At 40.5% G+C, this 20,184-nt stretch overlaps 1 protein-coding gene across 2 annotated transcripts, besides 1 other annotated feature; it reads left to right on the forward strand.

Annotated features, from left to right (window-relative positions):
- Window positions 2,954–3,478: an enhancer, noted in NCBI's record as "NANOG hESC enhancer chr3:63637673-63638197 (GRCh37/hg19 assembly coordinates)". NCBI's record gives its function as "activates a minimal SCP1, AML or CMV promoter by ChIP-STARR-seq in naive H9 embryonic stem cells {active_cell/tissue: H9 hESC(naive)}" and the evidence as "EXISTENCE:reporter gene assay evidence [ECO:0000049][PMID:30033119]".
- On the forward strand, window positions 3,632–16,169 carry SNTN (sentan, cilia apical structure protein). 2 transcript variants are annotated; one of them, NM_001348756.2, is made up of 5 exons: window positions 3,632–3,754; window positions 5,719–5,753; window positions 10,682–10,821; window positions 14,654–14,743; window positions 14,894–16,169. In NM_001348756.2, the coding sequence occupies exons 1-5, from the start codon at window positions 3,645–3,647 to the stop codon at window positions 15,050–15,052; spliced, it is 534 nt and encodes a 177-aa protein (NP_001335685.1). In that variant the 5' UTR covers window positions 3,632–3,644; the 3' UTR covers window positions 15,053–16,169. The 2 variants fall into 2 exon arrangements, with proteins under 2 accessions (NP_001335685.1, NP_001074006.1); NM_001080537.2 differs by lacking the exon at window positions 14,654–14,743.
- Window positions 16,170–20,184: the final 4,015 nt, after the last annotated feature.

Below are 20,184 nucleotides of genomic sequence, written 5' to 3' on the forward strand. Positions count from 1 at the left end.
ATATAAACAGAACCAAAGACAAAAACCACATGATTATCTCAATAGATGCAGAAAAGGCCTTTGACAAAATTCAACATCCCTTCATGCTAAAAACTCTCTATAAATTAGGTATTGATGGGTCGTGTCTCAAAATAATAAGAGCTATCTATGACAAACCCACAGCCAATATCATACTGAATGGGCAAAAACTGGAAGCATTCCCTTTGAAAACGGGCACAAGACAGGGATGCCCCCTCTCACCACTCCTATTCAACATAGTGTTGGAAGTTCTGGCCAGGGCAATTAGGCAGGAGAAGGAAATAAACGGTTTTCAATTAGGAAAAGAGGAAGTCCAGTTGTCCCTGTTTGCAGATGACATGATTGTATATCTAGAAAACCCCATCATCTCAGCCCAAAATCTCCTCAAGCTGATAAGCAACTTCAGCAAAGTCTCAGGATACAAAATCAATGTACAAAAATCACAAGCATTCTTATACACCAATAACAGACAAACAGAGAGCCAAATCATGAGTGAACTCCCATTCACAATTGCTTCAAAGAGAATAAAATACCTAGGAATCCAACTTACAAGGGATGTGAAGGACCTCTTCAAGGAGAACCACAAACCACTGCTCAATGAAATAAAAGAGGATACAAACAAATGGAAGAACATTCCATGCTCATGGGTAGGAAGAATCAATATTGTGAAAATGGCCATACTGCCCAAGGTTATTTATAGATTCAATGCCATCCCCATCAAGCTACCAATGCCTTTCTTCACAGAATTGGAAAAAACTACTTTAAAGTTCATATGGAACCAAAAAAGAGCCCGCATTGCCAAGTCAATCCTAAGCCAAAAGAATGAAGCTGGAGGCATCACGCTACCTGACTTCAAACTATACTACAAGGCTACAGTAACCAAAACAGCATGGTACTGGTACCAAAACAGAGATATACACCAATGGAACAGAACAGAGCCCTCAGAAATAATGCCACATATCTACAACTATCTGATCTTTGACAAACTTGACAAAAACAAGCAATGGGGAAAGGATTCCCTATTTAATAAATGGTGCTGGGAAAACTGGCTAGCCATATGTAGAAAGCTGAAACTGGATCCCTTCCTTACACCTTATACAAAAATTAATTCAAGATGGATTAAAGACTTAAATGTTAGACCTAAAACCATAAAAACCCGAGAAGAAAACCTAGGCAATACCATTCAGGACATAGGCATGGGCAAGGACTTCATGACTAAAACACCAAAAGCAATGGCAACAAAAGACAAAATCAACAAATGGGATCTAATTAAACTAAAGAGCTTCTGCACAGCAAAAGAAACTACCATCAGAGTGAACAGGCAACCTACAGAATGGGAGAAAATTTTTGCAATCTATTCATCTGACAAAGGGCTAATATCCAGAATCTACAATGAACTCAAACAAATTTACAAGAAAAAAACAAACAACCCCATCAAAAAGTGGGTGAAGGATATGAACAGACAGTTCTCAAAAGAAGACATTTATGCAGCCAAAAAACACATGAAAAAATGCTCGTCATCACTGGCCATCAGAGAAATGCAAATCAAAATCACAATGAGATACCATCTCACACCAGTTAGAATGGCGATTATTAAAAAGTCAGGAAACAACAGGTGCTGGAGAGGATGCGGAGAAATAGGAACACTTTTACACTGTTGGTGGGACTGCAAATTCGTTCAACCATTGTGGAAGTCAGTGTGGTGATTCCTCAGGGATCTAGAACTAGAAATACCATCTGACCCAGCCATCCCATTACTGGGTATATACCCAAAGGATTATAAATCATGCTGCTATAAAGACACATGCACACGTATGTTTATAGCGGCACTATTCACAATAGCAAATACTTGGAACCAACCTAAATGTCCAACAACGATAGACTAGGTTAAGAAAATGTGGCACATATACACCATGGAATACCATGCAGCCATAAAAAATGATGAGTTCATGTCCTTTGTAGGGACATGGATGAAACTGGAAACCATCATTCTGAGCAAACTATCTCAAGGACAAAAAACCAAACACCGCATGTTCTCAGTCATAGATGGGAATTGAACAATGAGAACACATGGACATAGGAAGGGGAACATCACACACCGGGGCCTGTTGTGGGGTGGGGGGCGGGGGGAGGGATAGCATTAGGAGATATACCTAATGCTAAATGACAAGTTAATGGGTGCAGCACACCAACATGGCACATGTATACATGTGTAACAAACCTGCACATTGTGCACATGTACCCTAAAACTTAAAGTATAATAATAATAAAATAAAATAAATTAAAAAAAAAAAGAAAATCCAGATTTTGGGAAACTTGCCCAGACTGCCCCTTCTGAGGAAGCCATCTCTAGGGTCTCACTTGAGCAGTGAGAGTGGCTCGGGGTCATCACGTGACCCACAGGAGCTAATTGCATGGGGTAACTGACTACCTATGGGGTGAACTGGCACTAAAACTCTGACCAGCATGGGCAATGGTAATTAGTAAGACCAGTCAAACTTTCCCCTGTATCCCAAATTTGAATTGAAAATGCTAAGGAAATTAATGAAGAGGTAGAGGGAACAAAAAAAAGAAAACCCATAAAGAGAAGCAGGCAATGGGAGAGTGACACACATGGTCATTTGATGGTGGAGCAGTGACCAGTGAAGCAGCAGTAAGATGGCAGAGACCCTGGAGCCTATCATAGCCTGAATAGTGATTATCCTTAGCTTCTCTTGAGAATTCTAGCTCCTCTCACGCATCAGCTCATCAGTGACTTAGGCAATTGTTTGACATGTCTTTCCTGAACCTGACTCATTTCGCTGAGCTGATACAACCTCTCGTTTTTACAGAAAGTGCTCTAAGCTACAAGAGAAATAGCCTCCCTATCGGCCTTCCTATATTTACTCTGTCCACCTCTCTAAACCATTATTCACTTTGAAGTTGGGGTGATCTCTCAAAAATGTAAATTTAACTTCATTAACCTCCTTGCTTAAAATACACAAATGGCTTCCTATTCTTTTGACATACAGTAAAAAATCCCTACAGTAACCTAAAAGTTCCTGCATGGCCTGGCCACTGAGTCTGCTCTTTAGCCTCAGCTTGAGACACACGCCCCCGATCTCTTTGGTTCAGTCACGCTGGCTTTCCTTCAGTCCCTTTTGATCACCACATTCCCTCCTGCCCCAGGGCTCAGCGCAGGCTATTCCTTCTGTCTACAATATGGATCCCTTATCCTTTCACCTAGTTAACACCTACTCATCATCAAGCATCACTTCCCCAGGGATGCCTCGCTGACCTCCCTGACTGATGTCAATCTCATGGCATCTGCCTTGCATAGTACTGTTCACAGGTGTGACTTTTTGTGCAATTACTTGATTAATATCAGTCATTCCCACTAAACTCCCTAAGACCAGGGTCTACATCTGATTTTGCTCACTGTTGTTTCCCCAGCACCTTGTACAGTGCCATGCTAACAGTAGGCATGAAAATATTTATTGAATGATTTTATGTCTAAATACAATGACACTGTGGAAAAGTTCTTCTAGACATGCAACTGTATAGTTGCCATGGAGTGAATGACAATAGTAACAGTGGGCAAGTGACTGTTGCTTAGGAAGGACTGACACAAAACAGAAGATGAGAGAATGGGTGGCTGTATGCACAGTACCCAGGACAAATCTCTCCACTTGGAAGGAGATCCCAATCCTTCTGCAGCCCCAACATCCACCTGCGCACCTAGGAAAATGCCCAAAAGGTCAGTGGCACTTGGCTGTCTTTTATTGAGTTTCATTTAAGCTTGCAGATATATTTCCAAAGAGTTTATGTCAACAGCTTTATAAGCCAAGTTATTGCCAGTTTGGTGCCTATTACCTACCCTAATCCGGCTTTAAATTGACTTGGAAAAACAAAGACAACAAACTTGCAGCCTTGACTGCAAAGTGAAAAGATGGTGCAATTAATGCAAATATCTTTGATTGCCTCTTGAGAAACATTTGTAAATCAAAATTGGTGATGACTTAACTGTGTAGCATATTCTCTCAAATTATGCACAACAGAGAGAAATTGTTTTATATTATTCAAATGTGTAAAGTTATGTTTAATAAGTGAAAAATGTTCTTTCTCATATAATTTCATTTAGGAGACTGGCTTTAGTTTCAAAAACCTTTTGTGGACACCTAGCAAGTTCTAGGTAGTCTGCGAGGGCAGGGGAAGGAGATATGGATATGAACTGCATGATTCTTTCTTCTCAAGGGTCTCACAGACCCTTGAGACCCTTCTCAATCATGGCAATAGAAAGAAATACATGCCATGTTACCAGTGCACATTGTGCAAAGTGAAACGTCCTTCTTCTTATAAAGGAAATAATAATGGTGCAGAGGTTGTAGAAGAGCAGGAGGCACTCACCAAGAAGACCACGAAGGGTTCGAGATAACACAGGGTCCAGCTTTGTAATGTTACAAGTGAAAAAAATGAGGAACCCCTAAAGACAAAGTTCCCTCAAGTAGTTAATGCCAAAACCAGATCCTGAACCCAAAAGTTCCTTTTAAGGAGTTATCCAAGGTACTACCAAATTCTATTATCCTTACTGGCTTTCTCAAAAAACACTCCAGCCATTGGGGGTTGAAAAATCAAGCAAACTTTGATTTGCTGTTTATAAGAGAGCAAGATACAACTTCCTGCCTCCAATTTGGCCCCTTTTCTATCTACTTCTGATATAACCATGAAATAATTTCCTAAAATGCAAATCTGATCATGTGATTCCTGTTGCCCTTAGGATAATAACTGGCATCCTCCATAAGGCCTCCAAGGCTCAATATGCCCTGGCCCTGCCTGGCCTTTAACCACTATCTCCTTCTTTCTCTAGGTGCCACCCACACTATACCTCCTCTGGTTCTTCAATCATATGGTGATTTCTGCCACATCAGGCCTCAACACATAAGTTTCCTCTGCATGGAACACGCTTCCTCCTTCTTCACTACTGATTCATTAGGCTCAGGCAGAGTGCCATTACCCTCACTGTAGACTAGGTTATTACCTCTTTGCCCTCTCTATGTGCTCTGCCATTACTTTTTATCGAGTTACCTGCCTAGTAACTGTCTTCTTTTCTAGACTTAGCCCCAAGAGGGTAGGAATGTCTCTATCAGTCACTCATGCATCCCACACCTCAGCATAATACCCAGATTCTTAGTTAGGAAGGCTAAGCTGCTGGAACAAAAAAACTTCAAAGTCTGAGCATTTTACAGAATGCGAAGTCCTTTTTTCTTTGCCATGTGACAGTCCAGAGTGGGAGTTCCAGGTCTGTGACTGTTTTACTCCATGCAGTCACGTGAGACACAGGATGATCAGCATGTGGCTTCTAAAGTCTTCCTGATAATTTCCACCTTAGTCAGCTTGAATGGGGAAAAGCATGGAGGAGCTTACATGGAAGGTATTCACTTCTCTTCTGCTCCATTTCCGTCTGGAGGAACTTAGTCACATAGCTGCAAAACTACAAGGAAGACTGATATACGTGGGTAGCTGGCCAGCCATGTGCAGGCATTTCTTTACTATGTGGCAGGGAGAAAAAGGATTTTGAAACACAGATGGCTGCTCCACTAAAATCTCAGAGAATGTTTACCAAAATAAACAATTTTTAAATCATTATATTGCTCTGCTATAGATGCTGATATCAATACCCCAACTCCCAGAATCATTCTGTTTCTTTCATTTTGTTGGCAGGATTTCAATATCCAAACAACTGGCTTCAGTGAAAGGTAAGGCACAGATGACGCAGATGTACATTTTTCTCCTCTACCAAGATGGCATGCCAAGTGTTAAAAAAAAATAATAGGACATCAAAGAATGCCAGAGATGTAAGGGAACTTTTGAATAAATCATCAAATATTCATGATGTTCTTTTTAAAGATGTGGGAACTGAAGTCCCGGAGTAGGAATTAACTTACCTAAACTTACACAGTTCATTAAAGACAGAGCTGAGATGAGACCATGGATCCCCTGGCTCCTAATTCAGCGTTCTTCCCACCATATCCAGTTGCGTCTCCAAGGGCAGCATCCTTAGAATGTCTAGAGCAGGACCATGAGTATCTGACTCATGAATGTTAAGTGGAACTCAGGATGCAATCAGCTCCCAACTGCCTCTGTTGACTGAGTGGAAACAGTGTGGCCACCTCTCGAAGTGTAAATATTTGCCCCTGGAAATCAATTGCATAGGTAAAATAAGTTTGGGACTAACAACATTGCCATGGAAATAACAATGTAAGAAAAAAACGCTTGTATACTTGGATCATTCTTTTATTCAAAAGTATAAGGCTTCACCTGTTTACAGAGTAACAAGCACAGCTGTACATTACTATATTGCAGGTTTTTCCCTCCTAGATGACTAGCCAAACTCTCCAAAAGAGACTCTGTAATTTTATTTAAATAAATCTCCATCTTCATGGAACTATTTTTATATTATTACAACACAGCAGACTGGTGATTTATGTTTCAATAATTTACACAACTTCAGGCACTTTTGAGAATTGTCCCATCACATGTCTAACATAACTTCTCCTTCTGGGAGGTTGAGATTGTAACTCGGTCACCTCCACCACACACCCACCCCTGCCCACGTACACAACATTCCTAGCACCAGACTCCTTAAATCGGACCACTGAACCACATTTATTCTTATGCCTTAAAAAAAACACAGGATAAACATGATTCATCTCCCCAGAATGTATTTTATTTAGTGGGAAGTAATTCTAAATGTTATTCATCAAAATCAGACATGGATAGGTCGTGACATAGAAGTCAATACAAACCCACATTTTCTCTGCTGGCTACTTGGGCCTATGCCCCAATCTCATGAGGATTAGGAATGCAGGGTGAGTATATATTTGCCTCTAACACCCAGGGTATTTTTGCAGTGGGAAAATTTGAGAAGCACTGGGAAAATTACTGGCCTAAAAAGTAGACAGCAGGGACCTAGTTTTTAGTTCTGATATATACTACCTATGTGAGCTTGAGCAAACAACTTCTCTCCTGTAGGTCTTCACATCATTCACAAAAATAACTGATATTAGGACAAGTTCTAAAATGAGGAGATTCTTTCATTCTTCTGTATTGAGACTGGTATTTCCATGACACCATTCAATGTGAACTGACAGTGAACGAATTAGGAGATTTAGTGTTCCACATTCCAGAGCAGGTGAGGAGGAAGAGGCAGAGGATTTTTCTGAAGTTCAAAACAGCCCAGTTTAACACATGTATAGTGAAGCCTACAACATGCCAGGGCCTGGGAATGAATGCAAAGATAAACAAGAGGCAATAACTGTCCACAAAGAATATATAGTCCAATGTGCTATACAGTATAGCAGCCACCAGCTTCATGTAGATACTGAGCACTTGAAATTTGGTTAATTTGAATTGAGATGTGTTAAGACTTAGGAGACTTAGTAGGAAAAAAAATGTAAAATATCCCAATAATTTGTTTATATTGATGACATGTTGAAATGATAATATTTTAATATATTGGCTTCAGTAAAATAGATTATTAAAATTAACTTTTACCTGTTTATTTTTACTTCTTTAAAGTGGCCATCTATCAGAAATTTTAAAATTATGATTGTGGCTCAAATTATTTTTGGTGGGGGTACAGCACTGATGTAGAAGATAATATAAACAGAGTGTTTCAGTTTGAAGATTATGAAAAGATTATGTTTAAGAATTACAGAAGCACAAAGGAAGGACATGTAGCCCCACCTGGGAGTTTGGGAAAGAGTCCTGCAAAATACACTGCCTGAAAACACAACACCTAGAGGCAGCGTGCATCTTGGAGTGAAACCAGAGCAGTTGTGTGGGCAAGCTATAATACTTAGCCTCTTGCTGTCTCCGTTTCTTCATCGATAGAGTGGGGGTTGATACTAAGACATACCTCATCGGACTGACATCAGAATGTAGTGAGTTGAGTCATGTGCATTCATCCCAGGGAGGAGTCATTGGCATGTAGAATGTGTGTCGTATATTATTGTCCACCAGAACACAAGCTCCAAAAAGTCAGAGTTTGTTCTTTTGATGTTGCTCACTGCCCTACGCCCCAGAACTATCACAGGGCCTGGTAATAAATACTTGCCAATAAATACTTGTTGGATGGATAGAGTATGCAGCGACTACACACAGTTCAGTATTATTAAAGTACTGACAGTGAGCTAGGGAATAACAAAGAGGGCAGCAGAAATCGGCCTGGCTTAATGTCTTTCCCTGCACCCCCATTCCAGAGGCAAGAGAGCCAATAAAAGATGCCAAAAGAGAAAGAGCAGTCCCTTGTGTTTTCAGTTGCACTTAGCCCTTTACAATATGCTTTCACATACTAGTTCCCAACTCTGCGAGGCAGACAGTGAAGGAATTAAGAGGCAGCATGCTGGGTTTATTAAGGGAAGAATCCAACCATAAAAACAGGAAACTAAAACGCCTCACCGAATATCATCAGTGTTATTAGAACAACCAGAGTTCCTCGTTATCTTTTATTTTTAATATTTTCTAGCTCTGTTTTTACCATGGCCATATGCTATTTTATAGTGAAGGGAAAGGCATGCTGTTTTTTAAAAGAGATGCAGGAAAAGAATGGGAAGTTGGCTAGACCAGATGGAGTTCCCATTTCAGAGTGCAGTCAGACCTGAACTTCATCAGAGGGTCAAAAAATATCTGGATTCCACAATCACGATGGGGATGCCCTTGCAAGAAGATACTCCTAAGTGGCTAATCTTTCTATGGACTTTGAAGTCAAAGATTTCATATACTTTCTTTGCGACATCTTAGCAATGTGAACTTTATTTAACCAAATATATAGCCTGGGCACTGCTCAGAGATACAATAAAAACTGAGAAGGCCCACACACTTCCTCCTTTCACCCACTTGTCTTCACTCTTGTCCATCCTCCTCACCTTTAACTGAAAAATTAGTTGCTCAAAATGCTTTGATGCCTTCTCTTTCCACTTTGAAGAAAATCCTGATTCCTTTACACGGCCTACAAGTCCTGCATGATCTAGCTTTTGCCTACAAACACCCTTCCAGCCCCTAGACTCTACTCACAACTGTCTTCTTTCAGAAATCTGCCAAATATGTCAGATTTCTTCTGACCTGAGACTTCACGTATCCAGCTTCCCAAGCCTGGAACATTCAGCAAATTCCTAATCTCACCCTGAACCTCACCCTTTTCGTGGCTGGCTCCTCCTCATCCTAGTAATCTTAGCTTAAATATTAATCTACTCACGGAGGCCTTCCAGACCACCCATCTAAGTAGTTTTCCTCCCAGACCCACTCTGTAATTTTTTTCCTGTCTCTGTACCTTCCTTGCCTCATACATCACAAGTTGTAAATATATATATATATATATATATATGTAAAATATATATAAGTGGACAAATAACATACAATAACAGAAAAAATAAATACATGTGTATACATATACATACTCTTGATTATTATTGATTTCTTTGCTAGATCGTAAGATCTATGAGAGCAGAAACCACATCTGAGGTTTTTTAATTAAAAAAAAAATAGGGACAAGGGTCTTGCTATGTTGACCAGGCTGGTCTCAAACTCCTGGCCTCTAGCAATCATCCCATCTCGGCCTTCCAAAGTGCTGGGATTACAGGCATGAGATCCAGTGCCTGGCCCCACATCTGGTCTTGTCCGCTCTGTATTCTGGGAAGTAACAGGCACTTAGTAAGCACTCAATATGAAAATCATGTTATTCGGACTGAACATCATTCTTTGAAACTGTCATTGTTGCACATTACCTGGACTGAAAGCTGGGACATTTTGTTCTTATTTTCTTCAGATTCATTCATTTAACAGCATTTATTAGCACCTACAATGTAGCAGACATTTGTACTGTCACTGGGAATACAGTGATTTTAAGAAAAAAGGTCTGATCCCTGGCCCATGGAGACTGCTTTCTAGTTGAGGAAAGGACAGGTAAACATGTAATATCTGTAAAGGGTGATAAGTTCTACACTAGGGGATGTATTGGTGACTAAAAGAACACAAAGCATACGAATTTTCTTCATGGTAACTTGTACATTTCCCTGTGTTCACAGCAGCACAGTGGAAAGAAACGAATTAGCATTGCCCTATCAAGAAGCTTACCTGAGAGAAACCAGCTGGGAGATCACTCTGTTTTAGGCCACGAGTCAAAGAGAACCCTTATTCATCATTATAGCAAAGAGCTTTTCCTGAAAGTCATTCTCCTTTCTCATACTGACACGAAGTGATGCTGTGTCTGACACAGAATATAAATTCCACAAGAGTAGGACTTCATTTTATTCGGTGATTCCTAATATCAAGGACTGAGCCTCGTCCATAGTACATGCTCTATCAATATTTGTTGAATAACTGAATGAAATTACAGATCAGAAAACCAAAGCTTAGAGAGGTGAGAGACTTTTCTAAGGTCACATGGCAAGCAAGTGGTAAATCTCATATCTAACTCTACTAATTCTAATTGCTATTAAGGGACCTTTGTTCTCGGTTGTTTAAAGATGCAGGATTGGAAACTCCCACATCCTTCTCCCAGATAGGAGGCAAAGGGCCAAGATTTAGAAGGTTCCCTACAGTTCCCTTGGAAGACACAACAGCAGGTCTGGGGAAGGGTTATTTCTAACTCAGGATACTTTATTCCACATTTCTTCTCTCCTAGCTCTGAGGAAGTGCTCAGATCTGGAAAAAGCTATTGCCACCACTGCTCTGATTTTCAGAAATTCTTCTGACTCTGATGGTAAACTTGAAAAAGCTATTGCCAAAGATCTGCTGCAAACCCAATTTAGGAATTTCGCAGAGGTGAGAGAATTAACTTGCATAAAGAAACAGAAACTACACCCTCATGGCTGACCCAATGAGCAAATAACTCCAGCTCCAGGTCCCTGTCATGTTGTCTCACGTAACAAATGTTTATTGAACACCTACCTTATGCCAGGCAGTGAGCTGCACTGGAGTTGATGCAGTGAAGACAGCAATCCCCAGCAGAAGAAAGAAATACACTAAAAAAGTAATTAAAAATAGTCAAAGGATGTGAAAGAGTAGAGCATTCAGTGAGAGTAAAACAGAGGAACTATCTTGGGGCAGGTAATCAAAGATGGGCTCCTGGAAAACTAAGGTATAGCTGAGATCTGAAGAATAAGCAGGAGGTAGCTAGGCAAGGGGGAGTGAGAATGATGGCGTTCCAAGCAGAGATCTGGAGGGCCAGTTGGTGAGAAGGGATGGGACGGTAGCTGGGAAGTGGTTAGAGATGAGGCTGGGGAGGCGAGGAGAAGCCAAATCTTACAGAAGCATAGCCTGATAGCAAGAGGAAGCCAGGAACTATGTCTACGTCCAGGCCTAAGAAATTACACCAGCTGCAGTACAGAGAACAGACTAGGGTTGGGGGTGGAATAGGAAAAAAGGGAATAACTAGCTGTGGGGAGGCAATTCAAGAGAAAGATGGTGATGGCTTAGACTACGGCGGTGAAGATGGAGATAAACAAACAAATAGAAGAGACGTTTAGAAGGTGGAATGAACAAGATCTGACAATTGATTGACTGTGAGAGTTGAAGGATAGGAAAGAAAATGATGACAACCCAATTTCTGACTTACAAAAGGAATGGTGGTGTTCCCACTCCTAGAGAAGAAAAAGGCTAAAGAATAAGCAGGTTTGAGGTGGGATGGAGGTAGGGAGGAGATGGCGAGTTTCATTAGGTTGTGTCAGTGTTTAGATGTCCATGAAATATTTAAGAGGAAGACTTAGCAACAGGACAGATGAGTTCAAAGGTGAGAATAGAGATCTGTGTTCAAAATATGGAAATGAGAGTCAGCAGTATATAATCAGTCACTGGCCTAAAGGTTACTACCTTACTCACCTAAGGGTATATTTCTCGAATTTCAGTCATTGAATACCATATTTAGTATTTTTCCCACAACTGCCTATAGCCTGTGTTGCTTAGAACTTTTCCTTTATGTTTTCTCTCTACTTAAGTAAATTTTTATAAGGACACCGTATCATTATTCTTATTGTAAATTCAGTGGATTAGAGTAAAAAATAATAGTGAAAAAATAGACGACTATCAATTCTTATTTAGTGTTTAATATTTATTCTTGCATCACCTAAAATGGCATTACATTCTATCGGCAGTATATATTCATACTTTGGAAAATACCAGCCTAGGGAAAATGTGTAAGAGGAAAAGAGGGCCTCATATCAGCTTAAACTATCAATATTTATTGATGGGTAGAGCAAGAAAGCACATAGAGGCAGTCTCCAAGTCCCTGTATCTGTTCTGAAATATTGAAAAGATATTATTCTCTCTATATATGCACACATACACATACATAAACACCTATATATGGTTTCAGTGCACTACAGTTATATAAGATGTCACCCACTGGGGGGAGCTAAGTCAAGGGTACAACTTTCTGTGAGTGGGTGATTATTTCAAAAGAGAAAGGGAGAATATAGTGTAATACACAGATAAATGAACGGAAGTAAATGTTAATAAGGGTTAGCTATTTTGAGTAATGGGGTAAAGGGTTACAGTCACAGTCCTTTTTTTAAATTTACTTTTTCTAAATGTTCTATATTAAACATGTATTTTTCTGATTTTTTTTTTTTGGAAAGCTACTTTTTCAGGCAGAAATATCAGGCAGAATTTATCAAGAGATAACAAGTTTTGGGGAGTCTAAGGAAAGGATGGGTAAATAAATCCTATACCATTTGCCCACATCCAAGGCCAAAAGAAATGGGGCCCATATGCCAGACAGAAAGGGGGCTCATTACCTGGTAACCTGGCAAATGCTCAGCAAGCTTTTAACACATATGAAAATGAAGAACTAATGGATGCACCATCTTGATGTAACTCATCATCCCTCTCAGAACACCAGGGGAAAAGAATTAAAAACCGGTCCTTAGGAAAGACACCTTCAGCCTCATGTCTCTCAGTGTAGGCTAAACCCTAGAAGTACAGCCAATTTCTGGATCTCTCTAGCAGCAGGCACACCCAGGCCTCAGTGTAATCTTGCCCTCTGCTCAAGATGAAAGCAGAGCCATATTTCAGGGACTTGAGGGGACAGTTCATTCCAAGGCATTCTCTGCAATGTCTGTCAGAATGCTGCCTTGGCCCAACCGCCCTGCCCCATGAGACCCCCTAGGGCAGGTGCATTCACGTGAGTCAATGGCAAAGCTCAGGAGCCCACTTCATTCCTAACTGGGCTTTCTCCTCAATCCCCATGTTGCGTCCCCTGATAAACTGAGCTGGTTCTTTTGGCGAAGGCCTGAGTTCTAAGGGGAACATTGCCTTTCCCATAAGGCTAAACATGGTTTTGGGGATCTTAGCACCTTATAGCCAGTCAGATAGAATTTTAAAAAGCACCTAAAGGCACTACTGGGAAGATACAAAAAGGTGACAGGTCATGCCCCAGGAGGACTGGACCTCAGAAAATGGTGTGCTCTTAAAATATGCAGGAAATAAAAGAAGACCAATACCTATCTCATACCTCTGAGCAAACAGTGTGCCATTCTGCTAGTAAAGTGGTCCTGTCTACCTGTGTCTTGGAATCTGACCCTTTCTAAATAACACTCAGCTCTCCTGGAGGGAGAGAGTAGAGAGCTCCCCTTGGCCCTCATGGATAGGGTGATGGTGACCTCTTGAGGAGAAACAGCCTATAAGAGGAATGTAGCATCATTCCCAAAGTGCCTTAGTCATTGCTGTGATGGCTTTGTACACCTAGCACATGGGTGAGCATTTGGGAACAAACTAAATGCAAATATGGTTCAATATAATGGTGAATCAAATGACTTTAACATTTTTATTGTCACTGGGGAAGATATTTCACAAGCTGTGATTTGAAATTAAAAAGTCTCTCCATTTATATACTATTAAGATGCTTTCCTTCAATCTGACTATTTATGAACACTGTGAACATAGTTTGATTTATAATCAAACTAAAGCTAAATAATCTTTCAAAGCATGTATTTTCTTTTAGCATATTATATTCTATATTTCTGGATAATCTTAAGTCTTAGATAACGAACCCATAGAAGATACCTTCCCTAACACAAAGATTGTATTTTGAAAATTTAAAAACATAATATGTGTGTTCAAAAAAAGGCAGAATAGCTTAGCAGTTAAGAGTATGGGCTGTCAAGAGGTAGATGGGCTACAAACCCTGGCTCCACACCAAAATCTTCCAGCTTGGCGCAAGTCTCTTAATTATCACCTGTCTCTGATACTGCATCTGTAGGATGAGGATAATAGTGGTATATATTCAATAAGGTCACTATGATGATTAGAGGAGATAACACATAAAAAGATTTCACATGGTGTTTTACTGGTAGCATTGTTGGCAACTTGATGTGTTATTATTGTTAATAACATGTTTATTATTTACTATGATTTGGATGTTTGTCCCCTCCAAACTCCATGTTGAAATTTGATCTCCAATGTTGGAGGTGGGGCCTTATGGGAGGTGTTTGAAGTCATGGGGACAGAGCTTTCTTGAATAAATGAATGCCCTGCCTTGGGGGTGGTGAGTGAGTTCTCACTCTGTTAGTTACCACAAGAGCTGGTTGTTTAAAAGAGCCTGGAACCCTCCCTCCTCCTCTTGCCCCCTCTCTTGCTGTGTGATCTGTTCATACACCAGCTCCCCTTCACCTTCTACCATGAGTGGAAGCAGCCTGAGGTCCTCACCACATGCAGATGCCTGATCTTGAACTTTCCAGCCATCAGAATTGTAAGCCAAATTTTTCTTTTTTCTTTATAAATCACTCAGTCTCAGGTATTCTATTACAGCAACACTAAACAGACTAAGACATTATTGTTTATGATCTGTAAACCTAAAGTCTATACAACGAATTCGGTTTTTATTTCTCCATTCTCACAGGGACAAGAAACCAAGCCAAAATACAGAGAGATCCTTTCTGAACTTGATGAGCACACAGAAAATAAGCTAGATTTTGAAGACTTCATGATCTTGCTCTTAAGCATCACTGTCATGTCAGATCTGCTACAAAATATACGGAATGTAAAAATTATGAAATGAACAGTTTTAAATATGCTGTATAAAATAATGGCAAAAGACAGTGTTATTAAAATGTTTCCATCTTATTTTTGATTAATTGAATATATCTATCATGCATCTGAAATTGCCTAGGATGGTTCTGATTGCTGGTATTCAGATCCAATGTAACTCCAAATATTTACCCATACACTTCAAGAATGTTTGAATGATAAGGTCTCTGTGTGCTTTACAATAGGATAGATTTGATACCACTGAATAATAAATGGCTTTTGCTGAGTCAGTAGCGACCTAGAGCACTCTACTTATAGTCATTGAGTCACTCATTTATTCACTAAACATTTGTTGAGCATCTACTTGATGGAACTGCTGAGGATACAGTAATGAATTGGCCAGGCAATTCCTTCCTTCAGACATGTTTGCAGAAGTCTAGCAGAAGAGATAGACATTGAACAATTTTTAAATAATTGCATACACAGTATAATTAGAATTGAAATAAGGGCTATAGGATGCTAAAAGAGATTATCACCTGATCGGAGTTCAAAGGTCAGAAAAGCTTTACTGACATTCTATAAAAAGCAAAAAAAAAAAAATTGGTCCATGGATGCCAGGGATATGGGTGGGAAATGGGGCTGTCCACAAATGGCACAAGGGGAGTTTTTTATTTTATTTTATTTTATTTTATTTTATTTTATTTTGAGACAGAGTTTTGCTCTTGTTGCCCAGGCTGGAGTGCAATGGCACGATCTCAGCTTACTGCAACCTCGATCTCCCAGGTTCAAGTGATTCTCCTGCCTCAGCCTCCTGAGTAGCTGGGATTACAGGCGTGTGCCACGATGCCAGGCTAATTTTTTTTGTATTTTTAGTGGAGACGGGGTTTCGCCATGTCGGCCAGGCTGGTCTCGAACTCCTGACCTCAGGTGATCCGCCCACAGCCTCCCAAAGTGCTGGGATTACAGGCTTGAGCCACCAAGTCTGGCCAAGGGGACTTTTAAGGGGGCTGGAAATGGTCTCCATTTTGATTGTGAGGTGGTGGCTACAAGATTGCATGCATTTGTCAAACTCATAGAACTGCACACTGAAAAGAGTGAATTGTACTGTATGTCAATTATACCTAAATAAATCTGACTTAACAAAAAAATAAAACCCAGTATTCTTGTAATCTCTGAACACAATTTAACCAACAATTCCTTGGGATTATGATGTAAAAGTAGTCATATCCCAGAGACCCACACCGACTCCCATGACCACCTCCTGTATTCCTGAATATAAATTACATACACACATATAGTCAACGCCTGAACCTTTAAGGTAGACTCTCACAAAGATTTTTATTCATGTAGGACCTCACTTGAGGACAGCAGGCCCCAGTAGGGTAGCTCAGCATATGGCAATGGGCACTCAAGGTCCCCAGAGCGGGCACTGGGCAACAGCCAGAGGCACAAGCCTTCATCAACCCTGGCTTTCAGAGATGCCATCTTACTCTATCTTTACATGGGAGTAATAATGTTCCCCCTTTCCAACTGCAGGAACTGAGGATTACAGTAGCTAAATGATGGTCCAGGATCATTGAGGCAATCAATTTCAGAGTCAGAATCCTGGCAGAAGCAAAGAGGTGCCAAAAGGGGAGGAGAAACAGGAGACATAGTTTTCCGGCTTTGATTCCCATTTTGTTCCAGTCACTTGCTAAGTTCCACAATCAGGCAGGCAGTCACCTAACATGTATTGCACTTCTACCGCAGGCTGTTGCCAAGAGAGAGGCAAAGAGGAACGAGTCACAGTCTTTACCTTCCAGGAGTTTATGGCTGGCAAAACATGTATGTAAATGTGGTCTATTGGAGCTATTCTATAATCCTGTCAAATGCATGGTAGGACTTTACTTCTCTGTTTCCTTACAGTTGAGTGTGCCCATCCTTTGACCAGTGACATCTGAGCTGAAGTGAAATATGCCACTTCCAGGTGGAGGCTTTGAGAGCCTGGGTCAATTCACTGCCCTGCTTCCCTGGGCTGTGATAACTGGCAACATGCCCCATGGAGGCTGCTCCTTTAGCCTGGGTCCTGAGGGAGGCCAGTTTAGAGCAGAAGCCCAGACAAACTGATACAGACATCTTGCTGAAGAAAGAAATAAATATTTTACCAGAAAAAAAGACGGTTATTCACTGTAAAATTATTATAACTTCCCAAGTTATCCCTCACCTCTCATTTTCTTCCCAGCCCAACATTGTATGCCTCATAACCTATGTTAAGAAAATCTGCCAGGCACAGTGGCTCACGCCTGTAATCCCAGCACTTTGGGAGGCCAAGGCGAGCAGATCACCTGAGGTCAGGAGTTTGAGACCAGTGTGACCAACATGGAGAAACCCCATCTCTACTAAAAATACAAAATTAGCCAGGTGTGGTGGCACATGCCTGTAATCCTAGCTACTCAGGAGGCTGAGGAAGGAGAATCACTTGAACCCAGGAGGCAGAGGTTGCAGTAAGCCAAGATCGCACCATTGCACTCCAGCCGGGGCAACAAGAGTGAAACTCCATCTCAAACAAACAAACAAACAAACAAAAAAATCCTTTCCAGAGAGAAACCTTCAGCCTTGCTCTGGTGAAGTGTTGCTTCATCCTGTCGTTTTCCAGATCCACCAGAACCCAACTCCCTGGCCCTCCCCACTTCCAAAGCTCAGACATCCTAAATCGAAGAGATTACAGATAATGTAAAGGAAAGGCCCAGAGTTTATCCTCTCACCATTTTAACAGGAGGCAGGAGTGTTTAACAAAAACATTCAAACTCACTTATCTGACAAAAGAAGAAAAAGGAATTAAAGAAAATTTGTTATATGTCCCATTTTCAAAGGCTTCTTGCTTTGAGCTGTTTCAAGTTGAGTGATAGAAAAGTTTTTTTTTGTTGTGTTTTGTTTTGTTTTTTGACAAACACAGGGCTCATACTATGAGCCAGGCACTGTTCTAGGGAGTTCCAAATAGTAACTCATTTAATACGATAACAACCGTGTGAGATAGATATTATTATTATTACCATCTCATAGATGAGGAAACTGAAGCACAAAGGTTGTGATTTTCATGAATCACACAACTAAGCAGATTCGAGAGTTTTCTGCCTTCCCCAAGGGCATTGTTAATTTTGCTTTAATATTAGACTTCTTTGTGAGCAATAATATTATAACTCACCAAAAATAGCTGTGCACATTTCAGGCACTGTGCAAGAGATAGCAGTACCAGCTGGGACCTAGAGAACCATTTGGCATTCCTCAAATAGAATTCTGTGGGCTGTTCTCCCTCAAAGCCCTTTGTGTCTCAGTTGCAAGTAGCTGAATATGGCAACCTTGGTGGCCAATGGAAAGGTCATATTCACACCTTTCAGAGAAGGAAACTAGAGAGCCTGACCAATGGTGTGATGAAGAATCTTGGAGTCCTTCCAACTCTATGGGCTCCCAGTAAGAATTTTTGAAAATCCATCCCAGATGGAAAGTCACACTCCTCTGGGAGAGATATCAATTATAGAATCTATTTTAGCCTGATGCAAAGAATGCAAACAGAGCAAAAGCACATGTATGTGTTGAAGCATCAGCGACAGACAAATCAATGAGTGTGATGCTAAGACACTAAAACATAGGAGATCTACTTCTTGGTTCTAGTCCCAGGACCATGAGCTCTACTCTAAAAACAAAGCTGCCATCTTGAAAATGTTACTGATCGTCACAAGTGAGATTGTGATGCAAATCTGTCTTAAGATACCTTGGTTGAAAAGAAAAAAATCCGTTCCAATTACACATAAATACATATACACACACACACAAAGGAAAAATGGGAGGGTTGTATTTATCAAGGTACAGAGCATATAATGGAATGAAAGGATAGAGAATGCAGTGAATGTCCACACAATCCTGAAAACAACAATAGAAAGCAAAATTGAGGCTTCACTCTCAGTTTCTCTCAAATGAATTGGTTTCTGATCTCTGCTTCTCTCTGCATGTGGTCATTATTTTGTATTCTCTTTCTCTCTATCTCTCTATCTCTATTTCCTAAACCAAGTATTTCTGGATTCTTGGCACAAGAGCCAAACACAATGTCCCCATTGCTGACTTGACTTTTCCCTTTAAATGCTCAACAGACACTCAGTAGCATCTCAGAAGGCCCAATTCTTATCCCAGGAGAGAGACACTGATTGGCTGAGTTTGAGTAATGACTTCTAATCTAATTGTCTGAGGTCAAGGTGGAGGCTGACATGCTCACTTAGCAGGGACTGTGGGAACCGACTTTTTGCGGAGTCTGTGGATGGGTTCTCAAAGAAGGAAGAGAGGAACTGGGGAGGAAGTGATTGATAGAGGAAATTATAAGAATCTCTAGTACAAAATCTGTGACTTGGACTAGAAAGGCAATGTTATTTGCATCTCAGATATGGGCTTAGTGAAAGTGCCTTGAAGGAATAATTTTGTTTGTTACTCCAAGTGAAACCTTTAGTGTATTGTCATTGTACAAAAGAAGCTAACCTGACTCTCCCTGGGAAGTTTTCCTGTGATTAAATATAGCCAAGATATTCCTGTACAAGAGCTGTGGCAAGCTTGCAATTTGGTGAACATGATAGAAACATACCCTATCCAAGAACCCCTAATTTTCTTTATTTTAGCATCTAAAAATGGATCCAACTCTGAGATCAGGATTTGCGCTTTAAATAGTCCTTTATAAGAAAGGGGGAGAGGGTTGGAAGAAAACCAATGGCAGTACTGTTCATCAGCTGATCTTCTTCATGGGTAGAGCTAAGGAGAGCTCTTGGGGAGACCATTCTGCTCAATATGAAAAGGTTGGGCCAGCCCATTAACAAGGGGGGAGAGTGACCCAAAGAATTCAAGCCTGAGAGATTTGTTATACTAGTCTCCTCTTCTCTAACTTCAGTCTAGGCCACATGGATTCCGATTTCACTTTGATCTTTTAGGAGATACAATTTTTAAATCAAATGCAGGAGGTGGCATGGTATAAAATGGAAATTTTAGCATGTTTTATACTCCCACACACTTGAGGAATACCACACGTTCCTGTTACAAGTTCTCAGTACCTTATTCACAACTCTAAATCTAAAGAACAGTGACCATCTAAATTTTTTCATAATTATTTGGTAACAAATTACAAACTGTAACTAACTAGAGGCT

The sequence above is a fragment of the Homo sapiens genome, chromosome 3, assembly GCF_000001405.40.
Source record: "Homo sapiens chromosome 3, GRCh38.p14 Primary Assembly".
NCBI classification, from domain to species: Eukaryota; Metazoa; Chordata; class Mammalia; order Primates; family Hominidae; genus Homo; species Homo sapiens.